The 21,126-nt window shown below is 38.8% G+C and overlaps 1 long non-coding RNA gene across 1 annotated transcript in view; it reads right to left on the reverse strand.

Annotated features, from left to right (window-relative positions):
* Positions 1 to 21,126, reverse strand: part of NUTM2A-AS1 (NUTM2A antisense RNA 1) — a 103,892-nt gene that overhangs the window by 30,602 nt on the left and 52,164 nt on the right. The window contains exon 4 of the long non-coding RNA NR_024397.1: positions 19,174 to 19,227. This is a non-coding gene — a long non-coding RNA (NUTM2A antisense RNA 1). The remainder of the gene's footprint in view (positions 1 to 19,173; positions 19,228 to 21,126) is intronic.

Raw genomic sequence — 21,126 nt, forward strand, 5'->3', positions numbered from 1 at the left:
ATTATGTTAAATGAAATAAGCCAGGCACAGAAAGACAAACATCACATGTTCTCACTTATTTTTGGATCTAGAAATCAAAACAATTGAAAACATGAAAATAGAGAGTAGAAGGATGGCTACCAGAGGCTGGGTAGTGTAATAGGGGTGGGGTGGGTAGGGAGGTGAGGATGGTTAATGGGTACAAAAAAAATAGTTGGAAAGAATGAATACAGCCGAGTATTTGATAGCACAACAGGGTGACTATAGTCAATAATAATTTAATTGTACTTTCTAAAATAACTAAGAGTATAATGGGACTCTTTGTGACACAAAGAATAAATGCTTGAGGTGATGAATACTCCATTCTCCGTAATGTGATTATTACATATTGAATACCTGTATCAAAATATTACATGTACCCCATAAATATATACACCTATAATATACCCTCAAAAATTAATTTTTTTTTTTTGAGATGGAGTCTTGCTGTCACCCAGGCTGGAGTGCAGTGGTGCGATCGCAACTCACTGTAACCTCCGCCTCCCAAGTTCAAGAGATTCTCCTGCCTCAGCCTTCTGAGTAGCTGAGATTACAGGCACGTGCCACCACACCCAGCTAATTTTTGTATTTTTAGTAGACATGGGGTTTCATTATGTTAGTCAGGCTGGTCTTGAACTCCTGACCTCGTGATCCGCCCACCTCGGCCTCCCAAAGTGCTGGGATTACAGGCATGAGCCACTGTACCCGGCCAAAAATCTTAAAAAATACCAGGGGACATATCAGCATAGCTGAGCCACTCTGACTTTTTATCAGTTTCCGGAAGACACCCATCTCCTTCTTACCTCTAGGCCTGTGTATTTCCATTCCCTTCAGCCTGGAAAGCTCTTATCCAAGCTATTTACATGGCTGGCTTCTTATTCTTTAGTTGTTAGCTTAATGTCAACTCCTTACAGACACCCTACCTGATTATCTTAGCTCAATTAGGCCGTTCCTTGCTCTAGTCACTATTATAGCATCCTATATATTTCCTTCAGAGAGGTTGTCACAACCTGAATTACCTTATTTTTTTGTTCTTGTTTACTTGCTTACTATCAGTCTCTCCCATTAAGCTCCAATGACATGGTCAAGGACCACATCTACTTGTGGCCCATTGAAGACCCCTTGCCTAACACAGTGTCTGGTACATGTTGAATTGTCAGTAAATATTTGTTGAAACAATTGGTTAATAAATACTGTTCCTGAAAGCCTCTCTGCCACTGTCTCTGCAGTAGAACTGCCCTTGCTACCCTCAGACTAATGAAGAAGAGAAGACCCTAAGTACCTTATTTATACCTCCAACAAGCTGCAATCAACCCAAGAAGAGGAGGCCAGTCCGTCTCCCATGGTTCCCACACCCCCAACCCCCACTCATCACCAGAGAGAACCCCTGGCTTGAGCCCACAGCACAGACCCTTCATCCTGGGGTGATTGCACTGAGGAATTGCTGACCTACATCTCTCTGGTGTGGAGCTCCCAGGATACAAGCAAAAGACCCCTGACCACAACCACTACTAAGGTCCTTTCCTCTGTTGCCGCCAAGTTGAGGAAGGAACGTAAACACTGACATTGCCCCAGAGCTGCAGTGGGCAGCCAGGAGTGTCAAACCACAATCTACAGCCATACAGCTGGCACTCAAGGGGGCGAGGAACCCACACTTTCAGAGCATCGAGAGTGAACACAGCTGTAACTATGAGAAAACATAGAGGAGCCACACAACTGAGCAAGAGTCTACCAGTTGACCAATAAGCCTAAGTGCCACCTACTGGATCACACCCCAAAGCTTCAACACCAAGAATACCTCACTAACATACTCACCTCTGAAACTAGAGACAAGAAGTCAGCTTCAAAAAAAGACCCTGCACAAGGCCTCAGCCTAGTGAAAACAGCCAGAAGTCTATTGACTGTACTCAATCTATATGGCAGTTAAAGGAACACCCACACATGGAGATGAGAAAGAACTAACGCAAGAACTCCAAAAATTAAAATGGCCAGAGTGTCATATGTGCTCCAAATGACCATACAAATTCTCTAACAAGAGTGCTTATCCAGGCTGAGCTGGCTGAAATGACAGAAATAGAATTTAGGATATGTATAGGAATGAAGATCATTGAGATTCAGGAGGACAGCAAAACCCAATCCAAAGAAACCACAAATCACAATAAAGTGATACAGGAGCTGAAAGACAAAATAGCCAGTATAATAAAGAACCTAATGGGTCCGACATAGCTGAATAACACAGTACAAGAATTTCACAATGCAATCACAAGTATTAACAGTAGAATAAACCAAGCTGAGGAAAGAATCTCAGAACTCGAAAGCTGGCTTTCTGAAATAAGACAGTCAGACAAAAATAAAGAAAAAAGAATAAAAAGGAATGAACAAAACCTCCAAGAAGTAGGGGATTATGTAAAGAAGCCAAATCTACAAATCACTGGCATCCCTGAAAGGAAGGGGGAGAAAGCAAACAGTTTGGAAAACATATTTCAATATATTGTCCATGAAAACTTCCACAACCTTGCTAGAGAGGACAACAGTCAAATACAGGAAATACAGACAACTCCTGCAAGATTCTACACAGGAAGATCATCCCCAAGACACATAATTGTCAGATTTTCCAAGGTGAAAATGAAAGAAAGAATGTTAAAGGCAGCCAGAAAGAAAAGGCAGGTTACCTGCAAAGGAAATCCCATCAGGCTAACAGTGGACCTCTCAGCTGAAACCCTATAAGCCAAAAGAGATTGGGGGCCTATATTCAACATTCTTACAGAAAACAATCTTCAACCAATAATTTTATATGCAGCCAAACTAAGCTTCCCAAGCAAAGGAAAAATAAGATTCTTTTCAGATAAGCAAATGTTGAAGGAATTCTTTACTACCAGACCTGCCTTACAAGAGATCTCAAAAGAAGCACTAAATATAGAAAGAAAAGATCACTACGAGCTAATACAAAAACACACTTAAACACACAGAATAGTGTCACTGTAAAGCAACCACACAAACAAACCAACATAATAATCAGCTAACAACACAATGACAGGATCAAATCCACACCTAACAATGGTAACTTTGAATGTAAATGGGCTAAATGCTCAACTTAAAAGGCACAGAATGACAAGATGGATAAAAAAGCAAGTCCCAATGGTATGCTGTCTTTAAGAGACCCATCTCACACATAATGACACCAAAAGGCTCAAAATAAAGGCATGGAGGAAAATCTACCAAGCAAATGGAAAACAGAAAAAAGCTGAGGTTGCAATCTTAATTTCAGACAAAACAAACTTCAAAACAACAAAGATCAAAAAAGACAAAGAAGGGCATTACATAATGGTAAAGGGTACGATTCAACAACAAGATCCAACTATCCTAAATGTATATGCACCGAACACAGGGGCACCCAGATTCATGAAGCAAGTTCTTAGAGACCTACAAACAGGCATAGACTCCCACACATTAATAGTGGGAGACTTCAACACTCCACTGACAATATTAGACACATAATTGAGGCAGAAAATTAACAAAGATACTCAGGACCTGAACTCAACATTGGACCAAATGGATCTGATAGACCTCTTCAGAGCTCTCTACTCAAAAACAGCAGAATATACATTCTTCCCATCGCCACATGGCATCTACTCGAAAGGCAACTACTTAATTGGACGTAAAACAATCCTCAGCAAATGTAAAATAACTGAAATAATACGAAACACACTCTCTGACCGCAGCGCAATAAAAATAGAAGTCAAAGACCAAGAAAATCTTCAAAATCAGGCAATGACATGAAAACTAAACACGCTCCAGAATGGCTTTTGGGTAAATAATGAAGTTAAGGCAGAAATCAAGAAGTTCTTTGAATCTAATGAGAACAAAAATATAACATACCAGAATCTCTAGGACATAGCTAAGGCAGTGTTAAAAGGGAAATTCATCGCATGAAATGCCCACATCAAAAAGTTAGAAAGATCTCAAATTAACAACTTAACGTAACAGATGAAGGAATTAGAGAGGCAAGAACAAATCAACCACAAAGCTAGCAGAAAACAAGAAATAACCAAAATCAGAGCTGAAATGAAGGAATCTGAGACACGAGAAACCATTCAAAAGATCAACAAATCCAGGAGTTGGTTCTTTTAAAAAATTAATAAGATAGATAGGCTACTAGCTAGACTAATAAAGAAGAAAAGAGAGAAGATCCAAATAAACACAACTGGAAATGACGAAGGGAATGTTACCACTGACCCCACAGAAATAAAAATAACCACTAGAAACCACTATGCACTCAAACTAGAAAACCTAGAAGAGATGGATAAATTCCTGGACACATACACCCTCCCAAGACTGAACCAGGAAGAAACTGATCCCCTGAATAGACCAATAATGATCTCCAAAAGTAAGTCAGTAATAAATAGCCTACCAACCAAAATAAAGCTCAGGACCTCATGGATTCACAGCTGAATTTTACTATATGTACAAAGAAGAGCTGGTACCATTTCTATAAAAACTATTCCAAAAAACTGGGGAGGAAGGACTCCTCCCCAGCTCATTCTACGAAGCCACCATCATTCTGATACAAAAACTTGGCAGAGACACAACAAAAAAGAAAACATCAGGCCAATATCCTTGATGAACATCAATGCAAAAATCCTCAGCAAAATAATTTCAAACTGAATCCAGCAGCACATCAAAAAGCTAATCCACCATGATCAAATAGACTTCATTCCTGGGATGCAAGGTTGGTTCAACATACGCAAATCAATAAATGTGATTCATCACATAAACAGAACTAAAGACAGAAACCACATAATTATCTCAATAGATGCCGAAAACGCTTTAGATAAAATTCAACACCCCTTCATGTTAAAAACTCTCAATAAACTAGGTATTGAAGGAACATACCTCAAAATAATAAGAGCCATGTTTGACAAACCCACAGTCAACATCATACTGAATGGGAAAAGCTGGAAGCATTCCCCTTGAAAACTGGCACAAGACAAGGATGCCTTCTCTCACCACTCCTATTCAACATAGTATTGGAAGTCCTAGACAGAACAGTCAGGCAAGAAATAGAAATAAAGGGCATCCAAATAGGAAGAAAGGAAGTCAAACTATCTCTCTTTGCAGATGACATTATTCTATATCTAGAAAACCTCTTTTTTTTTTTTTTTTTTGAGACAGAGTCTCACTCTTGTTGCCCATGTTGGAGTGCAGTGGCATGATCTCGGCTCACCACAACCTCCGCCTCCTGGGTTCAAGTGATTCTCCTGCCTCAGCCTCCCAGAGCAGCTGGGATTAGTGATATACACCACCACACCTGGCTAATTTTGCATTTTTCAATAGAGACAGGGTTTCTCCATGTTGGTCAGGCTAGTCTTGAATTCCTGACCTCAGGTGATCCACCCACCTCAACCTCCCAAAGTGCTGGGATTACAGGCATGAGCCACAACACTTGGCCTATATCTAAAAAACCTTATAGTCTTGGCCCAAAATTTCCTTCAGCTGATAAACAACTTCAGCAAAGTTTCAACATACAAAATCAACGTACAAAAAACACTAGTATTCCTATACACCAACAACAGCCAAGACAAGAGTTAAATCAGAAAGGCAATCCCATTGACAGAAAGAATCAAATATCTAGGAATATAGCTAACTAGGGAGGTGAAAGACCTCTACAATGAGAATTACAAAGCACTGCTCAAAAATATCAGAGAAGACACAAACAAATGGAAAAACATTCCATGCTCATGGATAGGAAAAATCAGTATTATTAAAATTGCCATACTGCCCAAAGAACTTACAGATTCAATGCTATTCCTACTAAAGTGCCAACAACCTTTTTCATGGAACTAGAAAAATCTATTTTAAAATTTATATAGAACCAAAAAGAGCTCAAATAGTCAAGGCAATCCTAAGCAAAAATAACAAAGCTGGAGGCATCATGTTACCTGACTTCAAACTATACTACAGGGCTACAGTAACCAAAACAGCATGGTAATGGTACAAAACCAGGCACATAGACCAATAGAACAGAATAGAGAGCCCAGAAATAAGGCCACACACCTACAATAATCTGATCTTCAACAAAGCTGGCAAAAACAAGCAATGGGGAAAAGACTCCCTGTTCAATAAATGGTGCTGGGGTGACTAAGCAGCCACATGCAAAAGATTGAAGCTGGACCCCTTCTTTATACCATTTACAAAAATAAACTCAAGATGGACTAAAGACTTAAATGTAAAACCCAAAACTATAAAAACTCTGGAAGACAACCTAGGCAATACCATCTTGGACACAGAAACAGACAAAGATTTCATGACAAAGACACCAAAAGCAATTGCAAGAAAAGCAAAAATTGACAAGAGGGATCTAATTACTCTTAAGAGCTTCTGCATAGCAAAAGAAATTATCAACAGAGTAAAGAGACAACCTACAGAATGGGAGACAATTTTCAAACTGTGCATCTGACAAAGGTCTAATATCCAGCATCTATAAGAAACTTAAACAATATTACAAGAGAAAAACAACCCCATAGAAAGTGGGCAAAGGACCCCTTAGAAAGTGGGCAAAGAACATAAACAGACACTTTTCAAAAGAAGGCATACATGTGGCCAAGAAGCACATGAACAAAAGCTCAATATTACTGATCATTAGAGAAATGCAAATCAAAACCACTATGAAGATACCGTCTCACACCAGTCAGAATGGCTATTACTAAACAGTCAAAAAAAAAAAAAAAAAAAAAGAAAACCAGATGCTGGTGGTGAGGTTACAGAGAAATGAGAACATTTATATGCTGTTGGTAGGAGTGCAAATTAGTTCAACCATTGTGGAAAGCAGTGTGGTGATTCCTCAAAGAGCTAAAAGCAGAACTACCATTTGACCCAGCAATCCCATTACTGGGTATATACCCTGAAGAATATAAATCATTCTACCATAAAGACACGTGCATGCAAATGTTCATCTTGGCTTGGTTTCTCATTCTTTTGTTCACTTTTCGGAGTCATTTTCCTACCATTCATTTGTGCATGCAGTGTCTGAATTTCAGATAACAAACTCCTATGTGCTTTCTGGAGGCATTCCATAGCTGCTTGATATTCAACAGCACTATTCACAGTAGCAAAGACATAGAATCAACCTAAATGCCCATCAACAACAAATTGGATAAAGAAAATTGGGTACATTTATACCATGGAATACCGTGCAGCCACAAAAAAGAATGAGTTCATGTATTTCGTGGGAACACGGATGGTGCTGGAGGCTATTATCGTTAGCAAACTAACACAGAAACAGAAAACCAAATACCACATGTTCTCACTTATAAGTGGAAGCTAAATGATGAGAACTTACAAATGTGAAGAAGGAGACAACAGACACTGGGGTCTACTTGAGGGTGGAGGGTGGGAGGAGGGAGAGGAGAAGAAAAGATAGCTATTGGGTACTGGGCTTAATACCTGGGTGATGAAGTAATCTGTACAACAAACCCCCATGACATGAGTTTACCTATGTAACAAACCTTCACATGTACCCCCAAACCTAAAATAACAGTTTTTTAAAAATAATCAATATTGTCCCAGTCCTCCATTTTACAGATATGGAAGTTGTGATTAAAATGTGATTAATGTCACAGAAATACTAGGAAAGCCAAGCTTCTAACAGTCATTCCAGGGTCATTGCCAGGGTGTCAAATCCTATGTCACTGCACAGTATTACTATAACAACAAAGTGTCCCTTTCCTGACTTCCTATTCCCCATTCTTGATCCAGCATCTTTGGGATCCACTTCCAGGCATTTTCTCTGGGGTCCTGCTGGCTTAAGTCAGCCAGATCCTGCAGTGCCTTTGCCATATGATCCTCCCCTCCCTTAACAGACACTGTACTTACCCAGTTGGATTATACTGAAACTTAGTCCTCATACTGTCTGGTATCGGGGAGAGAAGTGGGGGTAGATTCTGAGCAGGACCAACATTGTTTTGTAAGACACTTGACTTACTCGAAGCTTATAGTTTTCAAGCAAGGAGAAGGTCTTCCATCTTCCAGCAAGGGAGTGGGCCACCTCTGTAGGCCCAGATATTCCGGAGAAGCTGGGAGGCCAAGGTCCTTAAGTGTGTCTAATAAGTTTCCCCATTCCAATTCTCATGTTCCCACTTTTTTCCAATCAGGACCCTGATTCTCTTGAAGGAGACTTACACAGGCTGAGAATTAACCTTCTCTGGCGTTCTGCCACTCATAAGTACAGGCTGCACCTGGGCTTCAGTTCAGTTGGCCTTCTGGCTGCCAGTGATGAGGGACTTTTTAAAGGCTTCCATGGAGGCCCTTTGACTCTCACACTTGGGTTTAAATTGGTGGTTAATAGATTTGATCCTGGCATCTATACTTAGTGCATCAATGGTGCTTACCAATACCCTCCCAATTCAACAATCTTTCAAGTTACTTTTCCACCTGTACTCTCAAATACTAGATACATCACAGAAGTTAATGCATTCGCTTCTACTTATATGCTGTCCTGGTTCACTACAAGTAAAAGTGTTAGCAATTTCACTGCAGGAGCACATCTGAGACTATCTTCAGGGAAGAGATTCTGATGGGACCACTGGTGAGTGAGCAAACTCCAGAATCCCATCCTTAGACTCAGGTGTATATAACTACTACTGCTATCAACTGTCTTAGATTGGGCTCTTGCAGCTGACCCTGAGAATTAGATTCCTGTCCAAGTGATTGCCTGAGGGAGTGCTCTCAGAAGAAATCTGAACAGCGAGGAAGGAAGCAGAATAGGACAGGAAAAGAAGCTGGGAAAGATATGGGTTTAGCTGAAGTCTAGCCTCAGTCTGATCCCACAGGGAGTTCTGGAGCCTCAGTTCTGTACACCCGTATCAATCAGTCATTGGCTGTGAGCTACCCACGGGGGAAGGCTGTTACCTTCCAGGCATTTTCTGAAATTGTTGGCTTGAATGGAATCCTCAGGGAAAGAGTGTGAACTATTAGCAGCCAACACTCTCAGCAGCTAAGGGATGAGTACGCCAGCTCATTGAAGAGATTCTGGACAGGACACCAACAGCATCTTCAGTAAAGATGTACTTCAATGGTAAGGACACTGAACCCAGAAAGAAGGAGTCACATGCAAGAAGAAATGGTGGACCAAGAAATGTATAAACATCTGGCTATATCTGAATAAGCACTCTTATACACAACAATAATGGGGAACAATGGCTAATTTGGAGATGGAGGGTATTTAAAAGGCAGAATTTAAACAATAAACATTAATAAGGAATATGGGGTAATTAGTATTGAAAGTTTCTAAAGCCCTTGTATTTCTGAGGTGAAGGGTAAATACATTAATTAAATTTAGATTTTATTATGTCAAGTTATACTTGTAAAAATTTAATGGAGCTCCCAGATGTAGGGAGTAAATTAAACACATGCATCAAATTTGGTCCTCCCCAAATCCAGTTAATTTGTCAGTGAATTTTTTTAAGTCCTGGGCCATGGGAAAATAAACAATAATAACACAATTTTGGAAAATTGGATGAGTGAGAAAAGACTTAGCAGAACTCCCAAATTAAAGTACTAAACCAGCAGCAGGAAAGCCAAGAAGCAACTTGTTTTACACTCAAGAGCCTTCAAGTGTCAGGAATTGGCAGCATCAGATTCTTCTGGAAGTGTGGTGAAGAGGAGAGACTAAAATGAGAATGATGCGCTGAAAGTTTATTTAAGAAGCAGTCAGATCACTAGATCCTTTCCAATCATGAAAAGGTACACTACCGCTTCTATTTCCCTTCTCTTTCCCAGGAAGCATATTCACAGGAGAGAGAGAACAGGTTTCCTGCTTGGGGATCCCAAGCAGAGTTGAAGTTGGGAGCACTGTACTGAACAAAGCCAGCTTAAGAAAATGCATGCATACTGAATGCCCACCTCTCTCTACTCCACTATCTCGCTTGACCCAGATCCAAAATAGTAGTAGCAGACTTTGACTCTTCTGACAGGAGATTGGAAGAATCTTACCTGATCAGTCCAGGAGGAAAACCTAAATGCAGTAACATCAGGGTTCCCTAACTAAGCTGTCCAGAACTTACCATCTTCACCAAAACAAGAAATTAAACCAATAAAGTGGAAGATCAGGGCAACACACCCAGGACATACACCCAGGTTGGGAGACACATGTAGGAGAGTAAGACAGTGAGGCCAGAATGATGCTGAGGGAAAGTCCCAAGATGACAGCTTTATGTCTTACGCATCAGGCATAAAGACCAATAGGCCATCAGAAGAATGAAGCATATTTTGTCAGGAAGATGAAAGCAATGCATCTTAGTAGCTTAAGAGAAGATTTAGAGAACTGGCAAATAATTTGGGATTAAATTAGTGATAAGTACATAGAAAACTAAGCAAATGGTAAAACAAGATAATTAGCTCCAGGGCAAGCAAAAAGCTGCTCAGGAAAGAAAAATTTATCATAGTTTCCTACATGGCTCAGCTGTGAACAGTTTGTGCATAGTTATATTAATGTAAATATATTGCTTGATATCAAACGCAAACATAATATGACTGTATTGTGAGGGCGTGAAGAGGAAAGAAGGCACATATATGGTGGGAGCAGTCATTTTCTAGAGTGGGAAGTCAGTAGATAATACCAAAAACTGGAAAATTGAGAAATATAAGAAATTGAGAAATGAATGTTTTTTAGAGACATGGAAGTAGATACCAACATGACCAGTAAAAGAAATGTAAATGATTGTTTCAGGGGAAGGAAGGAGGGATATAAGGCTCATGAGGAAGTATCTGATATTTTCAACTATGAGTTTTTAAAATTTTTGGTGAAATAAAATCTAAATATAAAAACAAAGATGGAATGGGAATATAATGAAATATTCAACTAAAAATATTTCAATGGCAACTACTGAAAGAATGCAAAGAAAATATATAATTTCCAAACCAGTATGAGGAGAAAAAAGAAAAAGAGAAAAAAATAAAACACTTCAGTAATCCCTTAGAAAACAGGAAAGAAGAATGGAAGAAGCAAAGCAGAAGCTTGGTAATAAAGAAAAGAAAAAAAAAGTAAAAGAGGCTGAGCACAGTGGCTCATGCCTGTAATCCAACACTTTGGGAGGCTGAGGTGGGCAGATCACTTGAGCCTAGGAGTTCAAGACCAGCCTGGACAAGATGGTGAAACCCCGTCTCTACAACAAATACAAAAATTAGCCAGGTGTGGCAGCTCGCGTCTGTAGTCCCAGCTACTTGGGAGGCTGGGGTGGGAGGATTGCTTGAGCCTAGGAAGTAAAGGCTGCAGTGAGCTGAGATTGTGCCACTGCACTTCAGCCTGGGCAACAGAGCAAGACCCTGTCTCAAAGAAAGGAAGGATGGAAGGAAGGAAGGAAGGGAGGAAGGGAGGGAGGAAGGAAGAAAAAGGAAGGGAAGAGGGACGGAAGGACAGAAGAGAGAGAGAGAGAGAGAGAGTGAGATTCAACTAAGGTAACCAGGCAAGCTTTGGAAGAGAAGTGTAAGAAGAAGAAAGGGATTTTAAAGAATGTGTGGATAAGTGTGACAGTCTTCAGCCAAACAAACTGATTCCCAGCAGTCAAAGACAAGTACTCAAGCACTGCAGGGCCATGAGGACCTTGAGAAAAAGGAAAGGTGGTAAGGAAATCACTCAGAGTGGGCCCTGGGTGCTGGCCAATAGGTGGTGCTGTCTGTATGGACAGCAGTGTTGTCATCCAGGGCAGCAACACAGTGGAAAGGAAATCCAAAGCTTAATGAGCCATTCACATATAAGAACCTTTGCCAGCTAAGTGTTCATAATTTGAGAATTACATATATTTCAGTATTCATTATATGACTCAAGATTTCAATATTTCAATATTCAATCTACACAACTGATATGGTTTGGCTCTGTGTCCCCACCCAAATCTCATTTCAAATTGTAATCCCCACATGTTAGAGGAAAGGCATGGGGGGAGGTGACTGGATCATGGCGGTGGATTTCTCTCTTGCTGTTCTCATGATAGTGAGTAAGTTCTCAAAAGATCTGATAGTTTTAAGGTGTGGCAATTCCCCCCTTGCTCTTTTACTCTCTCTTGCCACCATGTAAGATGTGTCTTGCTTCTCCTTCACCTTCTGCCATGATTGTAAGTTTCCCCAGCCCTGCAGAACTGTGAGTCAATTAAACCTCTTTTTCTTTATAAATTACCCATTCTCAAGTAGTTCTTTATAGCACTGTGAAGATACAATAACCAACACTTATACAATACAATAACCAACACTTAACTAGTATTAATGATATACCCCTATTAAGCAAAAGGATTTCTTGAGTGAAGTAAACCCAATAACCAGTATTTCTTTTCAAAAACATCTATAAAAATACTAGGTTTCTATAAAATTTTCCAGATACCACTTGATAGTCATTCAATTGAACATTGAATATGCTTTGTCTCAATTTCCAACATTCAAGATAAATATTTTTTCTATTTTATTACCTTTTTCATTTTATCATTAAAATTATTATATCATATTTTTTCATTTTTAAAGAGAGAGTATTTCAGTAACTTTATAAATTAAGTAAGTTTTTGCTGGCCAATTTGGAAAACTAAACAACTATTTTAAAAGAGGAAAACGCACACCGGAATCAACAAGTAAAAATTGAATGTCATTTTTATTACTATTTTTACTTATAAGAATTATAGAAATATTTGGTTATTTCAATTCCCTATGTGTATAACTCATCACAATTTGATAAGGAGATAGGTTTAAGTGTATGTGTATATAAAAAGAGACTGAAAGGAAAAAGATAAGTAGTTATCTCTGATTGGTTGTTGGGATTAGCTATATTTTCCAAATACTCTAGAATGAATATGTATTACTTTTCTATTATTAATTGGGTTAGGGATTAAAAAAACATTAGACCTGTATGTTAAAGTTGAACCAGCATCGTCAGGAAGGATACAAAAATCACCTGCCAAACGATGTCCATTTCAATTTACTTTATGTCCTTTCTAGGACCACTGTGAGCAGTTGTAGGTACCTGTGAGAGTGCTCAATGTAAAAAAAAATTTCTGTTACCCTAAATTGGGTTAATGATAAGTGTCTAAAGGAGATGTAGATCTAGCATATAAGACCTTCTAGATAAATTTAAAGATATCAGGAATGAAGGCTGCAGAGGAGTACTTTGGAAAAAAAGTTTAGTAATGAAAAGCAATATGAATTGTTTCAGAAATACTGTGACTTGGAGACATGGGAAGTGTATCAAACAGAAGTCGAGGACAGACATAAATGAAGTGACTTGCTTTCAATACGACAGATGTCCAAGACGGAAAAATGTCACCCAGGGCAAGAAAATGACTCAGGCTGGAATAAAGAAACTAGCTGCAGAGAGAATAATTTAATCAGGAAATCGAAGCCAGGTACAGTCGCTCACGCCTGTAATCCCAGTGACTCCAGAGCCTGAGGCAGGAGGATTGCTTGAACCCAGGAGTTTGAGGCTGCAGTGAGCTATGATTGCACCACTGCACTCCAGCCTGGGCAACAGAGTAAGACCTCATCTCTACCAAAAACAAACAAACAAACAAACAAACAAAACCCATAGGGAACCAAGTGGAAGACTTAGGATCTATTGTCTTCTTTTATCTCAAGCTGGTGGAAATAGCTCTGCATTTAAAGGTAGAAATAAGGATGGAGCAGATAGACAACCCAAAACTAAGAGTCATAACTATAAAATACCTAAATACATATTAATTTTCACCAAGCTAAAGTGAAAAATGAAATGTTCAATACTATCTATGCTGTATTTGTACGTATGGGATATGGTGTGTGGTGGATACTGGGCTGGGCCCTTGAAACTATGAGGCTAATAACACTGAGAAGGGAAGATGGGAGAAAAAGCAGTATGGGAGGTCTTAAAGTCTTGGTAACTTCAGAAATGTGCTAGGATTTGTGGGCAGCAGATATTTCAAAACACTAAGTAAAGAACGCTGGAGTTAAAGGCATGGAGCTTCAGAAAGTTATTAGCACTGATAGCCAACCACGGTGGTGGGTGCCTGTAGTCTCAGTTACTTGGGAGGCTGGGGTGGGAGGATTGCTTGAGCCCAGGAGTTCAAGGCTGCAGTGAGCTATGATCATATCACTGCACTCCAGCCTGGGTGACGGAGACCCCATCTTTAAAACAAAACAAAACAAAACAAAGATAAGAAGAAAAGAAAGTTACTGGCACTGAGAGCCAGACAGATGCCCAAAGTAAGAGCCCATTAAGAATTTCCACCATGAGATAACTGGAACAGTAATTTTCACATTAAAAATAGCTTTCTTCCTGCACTTAAAGGGATGGTTCGAGGAAGCAGATTCTAAAGGAGAGGTGAAAAAGAAGACATGCTCTGGATGTTTGGAGATACAGCTATAAGCCAACATCCTCGGCAAGCCCTGTACCACCCCAATGCCACCACTCCCTGTTCCAGTGGGTAGACATGGGTGGGAGCAGCATGAGTGATTACAGTTAGGGGGCTAATATCACCGTCTTTATTTCATCATGTCTCCAACATTCTGAGAAGGACATAGTGGTCACTATCCCTCAACCAAAGAAACTGATGAGTGCAGTAGGAACCTGCTTTGGAGGGTTCACATTGGGACTCATCAATGTGGAAGGTAAAAATCTGAAGATACAATTGAAATCTAGATAGCCTTGAATGGTATGGACAAGGAGACATAAAATCTGCTTACTAAATCAGAATAATAAGATGAAAGGTCAATAATAAGCATAGAAAGGTCAATAATGGAATAATAATAGTAGAGGTCATCCCTAGAAGGTTGAAAACATTTTCAAGTAAATATAAGAAACTCCTTATTGTACGTAGTAGTGCAGGCTGGAAAAATATACTTATTTAGTTCAAATCATGTGACAGGCACTAGGAATAAAGTTAGTCCCTGCCCTCACAGGGTTCAAGGTCTAAATGGAATAATAGATATGAAATAACTCAACAAGTAAATAGCTCAGCTGTTGGAAATCAAACAAGGAGAAGAAAAGAAAAAGGACATAGTGCTATAAAAGAAAATCTTTATAAAATTCAAAACCATTTAAAATATGTTGCCATTGATTTCCTTATTAACAGGTTTTAATACCTCCATCTTTCTCTAATAGTTTTCAGTTTATTAGAAACAGTATGTGAACTTTTTAGATTAAAAATTTCCAGCATAGGTTTATCACTTATTATATCCTTTTATTCCTTGAAATGGATGATTGTCAGGCAGAAATTTAGGACAAAGGAGCTGGAAAATATTCATGAGACTCAGGAACAAAGCTATTACTCCAACTGTAAGGTTTCATTATAAGCACGTAAATATAGTTCAAAGTTACCACATCTGTAAACTCAAAAATGCTGCTCACTTGGCTGGATCCAATCAATATTTGCTAACCATTATTTTAGTTATTCTTCATATAGACAGGCGCTTTGTTTCTTAGAAGAAATCACTGTCCATAACCAAAAAAAAACTTAATTGTGAAATGGTTTTATTTAAAACAGTCTTTTCTGGTTATTGAACATTTCATATGAATAAATTAATCTTCATGCATATGATAGCTTATCTGAAATAGCTTCCCAATTCTTTAAAATACCAAAGGCTTCTTTTCTCAGAATAAGGCATTTTGCCATCACGTGGTTTATTAGCAGAATAGGAAAATTAATCTTATTCTAAGCAAAAGCAGAAATATAATTAGCCAAACCAAGAAAAGTGTGACATTTGCCCATGAACTCTTCATTCAGATAATATATCTATTTTGGGAACTCATGAGACAGAAGCAAGACAAAAATATGAGAAGATATTAGGTTTCTCTAACTATTGTTCAAAATTAGAAAATGGATGTGGCTTTTATGTTGACTCTTTCAATACCTATATGAAGACAGTTAAAGGATGTATGAAATTAAAAAGCGACATCAGTGATTATTAGTAACTACTTCACAGGAAGCAAATGGGAGTATCATTGTAGTTAGTGGTATGTGAACGACTGATTGTACTGGTTTATCTTCATGCTCTCGCCTCTTCTCTTTAACTCTACGCAGTACATAGTATGGGATTATCTTTACCACATGCCCCTAGAGATTCTGTTTCACTTCACTCAGAACCTAGAAACCACTTGCTCCAAAACTTGAAAAATATTAAGAGCTGATGTCCCCAGACTGCTCCTCAACCTTGAACTCAAACCACTAAGCTCCAGGATAAATTCGTTTAAAATGATTGTGCTTAAATTTTCATGTGGGTCTAAATTTGCTGGGAGAGAAAGTCCTTTGTTTGTATTTTCGCATATTGAGAATATTTATCATGATTATTACACTGAAGAGCCTAACTATTCATTTACCCCATTTTTAAGATGTAGTAAAGACATTTTCCTCTGTGGAGGAAGCTATTGTGCAAGATTTTATCACGTGTTGGCGGAAAATTTGAGTGTCTGAATTTTGTTTCACACATGTGTTCAGCTTTGCATGTGTATTTCTGTGTGTATATAGAACATAGAAAAGAGTCTAGATTAGAAGATAATGTACTGACCACGTTCAAAGTGATTATTTCATCACGCAGGTAATAAGCATAGTACTCCATAGGAAGTTTTTTGATTCTCTCCCTCCTCCCAGCCTCCACCCTCAAGTAGGCCATGGTGTCTCTTTTTCCGCTTTTTGTGTTCATGTGTTCTCATGGTGTATCTCCCACTTATAAGTGAGAGCATGCAGTATCTGGTTTTCTGTTTCTTCATTAGTTTGCTTAGGATAATGGCCTCTAGCTCCATCCATATTGCTGCAAAGGACATGATCTTTTTCTTTTTTATGGCTGCTTAGTATTCTGTGGTGAATATGTACCATATTTTCTTTATTCAGTCTACTACTGATGGGCATATAGGTTGATTCCATGTCTTTGCTATTGTGAATAGTGCTGCAATGAACATACATGTGCATGTGTTTTTATGGCAGGATGATTTACATTCCACTGGGTATATGCCCAATAATGGGATTGCTGGGTTGAACGGTAATTCTATTTTAAGTTTTTCAAGGAATTGCTACACTACTTTTCACAATGGCTGAACTAATTTACATTCCCACCAGCAGTGTATAAGTGTTACAAAAGATTATTTATGAAGACAGAGATTATATGGGAGTATTCTTTTCTTTAGTATGTTCCTCTTTATTTTCTAGATTTTTTGCAGTGAGCATACCTTACTTCATGATGAGGAAAAAAAATTGTTATTCCTCCAAAATGATTGAGCACTTTGTATGTACACAATACTGCAATAAGTGATTACGGGAATTAAAAAAAACCTTTTTTCTTTTTTGGAGCTTTCAATATTCACAAATAAGTTGACGCTATGTGATAATATTTGTATTGCCTGTTATGTATCAGATACTTCTCCCATTTAATTTCACATACTCTATCTCCTTTAATCCAAATATAGAGAATACGTGTCAATCCACTCCATGTTATTGTAAATAATGTTGACAATGCACAGAGACGCATATTTTATAATAGTAAGTTACAAACACAAGGTAAAAATAGGCAGACAGAAAGCTATGCATAAAGACTAAATGGAAAGCAGTCTAGATAGTGATAATTTTTTTCTACCTACTAAATTTACTAGTAGGAGCATGTATCCTTCCCATAATGAGAGAAAAAATGAACTTTTAATGATTTTTAACATATATGACAGCCATGGAACAATTCTGTGCTAACTTTGGGGTACTTATGTGCAGCATATTGGACATTTAGTGAAAAGAGAGACCACTGTGAGATGATGAAGCTGGAGAAGGCTTCAAGAAGCAATGCAGGGCTCCCTGAGTACTTTAAAGGAAGGGCAAGTTTCTTTAAGAATGTGGAAGGAGGACAAGGAGGACGTTATAGAAAGAAAATAACTTGTACAATAGCAACAAGAACTGGTCCATTTATAAAACAGGAGCTTGCTCAGGTGGTGGCTATGAGGATTAAGTAAGTTGGTGCACCTGGCATCATGCCTGGATGAAAGGTGCTCAGGAAATATTAGCCATCATGATGATGGTGCTGGTGAGAATGGAGAAGAGGGATGAATTCAAGACACAGTCCAAAGGACTAAATGGTAAACTTGTTCACAGTCTGGTTCCTTGAATAGAAATAAAAGTGCCAACTAGGCCTTCATTGTTTCTCTCCCAAGACAGCAGAAGGAGAGTGCCCGTGTCAGAAGGGGAACAGGCTGGGGAGCTGGGCAGCAGGGGTAGGTGATGAGACAAGTTTGGGACACTCAGAGTTAAAAGTTTGGGAGGTAAAGGAAGTGTGGCCAGTGAGGCGGAGAACACAGAGGTGGCATCAGAGAAACAAGAGAGGGAAGATTTTTCAGGGATGTCATCAACTCTTCAGCCAGCGGAATGCAGGCGGAGTTGAAGAAGTGGAAAGAGAAGTCCCCCAGTGCTATACTAATTGTGTCACCAATTGAAGCACCCTGCTTTCCCTATTCTTGCATCTAATTGCAGTACGCTACCATGAAACCAGTTCATTCTGTGCTCAATTTGCTGTTCTGCTTAAAGGGACTTAAACTTGATATCTGAAGGCCAACTGCTACGGGCCATTACATTTATTTCCTTCCAGGCATTGTATGTAGATAAGCAATTAAATGAGGGAAAAGAAGTTGAGAGTCATTTATCATGGAGAAAAAAAAAAAAAAAACCATTGAACAAGGCTGTACAAGCAAACCTATTTGGATTGAAGAAAACATAACGTTTAATTCTCAGAAACAAATGCAAGCATCGGTCCAAGTCTTCCTTCCCAAACCTTTGTCATTTAGGGATTGAGAAGCTGAGTTGGGTGAAAGGTTGAATAGAAAACAAAAAGGAAAGCTAGAAACACGCTGAGCTCATGGAGATGCAGCTTCTTCTGTAGCTCCTAAAGCCCAGCTGAGGTATCATCTAATGAGAATTCTCTCTATGCCAGGCACTGCGCTAAGCATTTCACATCATTAAGCAATGTGAGTTTTAGGCAACCCCGAAGCAGGCAGTCTGTTCATCCCAATTGCAGCTGAGGAAACAGGGTGAGTGAGGCCAAGCAGCTGGCCCAAGGTCCCCTGCCTGGTAAGTGGCACAGCCTGCAGCCCTGCCAGGTGGTCCCGCTAACCAAGCCGGCGCTTTTCTGTCACCATGCCGTATCGCCTCCTGTACTATCAAAATGTACTATCAAATTTACCTCAAAAGAAAACCCTCTGTCTTCTGAGAAGCTCCGGAAGGTCCAACACGTTGCCTGCCAACAAAAAAACATGAAGAGTTAAAAATTAGCTATCGTACGTAAATTATTAGCCATTTACATTGTATGTAAATTATGTTTCATTAAACTTTAAAAATTAGAAAAAGATTTTCTTCTGGTAGATTTCCTTAAAAAAGTGTTACCTTTAAGTTTTACACTTAAGTGACCCATGTTATCTGTTTTAATGAATAATTTTCCTAATAGAAAATTATTATGTGGAAGACGACGACGGTAGCGGGTGGCAATTTAGGATAAAAAGTGATCAAGTGAACTCAGGACAGCGAACTCTTTCTAACTGTGCACAAATATAACTGTCTATTCTCTTCCTGGTGGCATCAACTCAAAATTTCAGTTCATTCATTTATTCAGCAAGTATTTATAAACCAAATGAACCATATGAAATCGCCATTCTTGTAGGTTAAAAATGGTCATATGTGGGTAATTCCAAATAGTTCAACCTAATATGAAGAACCCTCTGTGTGGTAGAATAGATAATATCATGGGAGCTGGGAATATAGTGTTGCATAAATGGACCAAGGTCCTGCCTTTATCTTGCTACATTCTGGTGGTCTAAGACATAAACAAGCAAAAAGATACATTAACAAAATTATCCCAAATTGTGATAAGAAATAAACAGGATAAAATAATTAATAACTTACTTGAGGTGAATTGAAAGCTACACTGAATAAAGAGATCAGAAAAAGTAAGGTGGATGGAACATCAGAGGAAGATCATTCCAGACAAGGGGAGAGGCAGGTTGAACGTCCATGAAGCAGATTGAAACTCCTTAGCAGGGCCCTGCTGAGTGAGGGGACTTGTTATTAGGGGAGTTCAGAGAAGTAAATGGAAGTGAGTTTTGTAGGGCTTCAAGGACCCTGACAAAGAGTTTGAATTTTATTCTAAGTTAGAAGAAAGTCACTGAAGGCTTTTTGCCTAAAGAGTTGACATGATTCAGTTAATGTATTAAAATATAACTTATGGTGACGGGTACAGTGGCTCAAACCTGTAATCCCTGCTAGTTGGGAGGGTGAGGCAGGAGGTTTGATCCCAGGAGTTCAAGGGCAACAGAAGGAGACCTTGTATCTTTTATATCTATATCTATATCCATCTATATCTTATGGGTAAAGGAAATATTCTATATTTTTATCATAGTGGTTACATGACTGAATTTATTTGTCAAAAGTCACTGGAATGTATACCTAAATATGTGAATTGCTGCATTTTACTCTATGCAAATTGTACCTCAAAAAACCTAACCAAAAACAAACAAATGAAAAGATAACTCTGAGCTGAAGCCATTAAAAATTATTTATCTGGAAGGTATTGGTATGTCTTGTTTGTTTGTTTCCTTTTGGTGGTATCATTTGTTGAACTCTGCCTGCTTAAACTCTGCACATGTATTTTTTTTGTAAAATTAAAATTATATTTTATGAAAGATAACTCTGGCTACTGAGTGGAGAGGAATTTATAAGACAGCAAGACTAGAGACTGGGAGACCATTTAGGAGACTATGGCAAGAAATGAGACTATGGCAAGAAATAGTCGTGGTGGTGATAGTGGAACTGAGAAATGGGAATAACATTAAAAACATAATTTGGAAGTAGAACTGACAACACTTACTGATGGGTTGGATGTGGGCAGAGGGGGTAAAGAAAAAGAAATCAAGGATGACTTTTGGGGTGGGGGTGTCCACATGGACAAGGCATGGTTGAAAAGAGGGAACAAACAGTTCAATGAAGGGTTTGTTTTGGACTTTAAAATATTTGAGGTGGCTATTTATTATTCATCCAAGTGGAGGAGTCAAGAAGGAAGTTGGACACATAGGCCTGCAGTTGAAGGAAGAGATGAGGACTAAATCTGTATGTCATCAGTATACATACGATGTCTTAGTCACTT

This window comes from Homo sapiens, chromosome 10 (genome assembly GCF_000001405.40).
Source record: "Homo sapiens chromosome 10, GRCh38.p14 Primary Assembly".
In the NCBI taxonomy this organism is placed as follows: domain Eukaryota; kingdom Metazoa; phylum Chordata; class Mammalia; order Primates; family Hominidae; genus Homo; species Homo sapiens.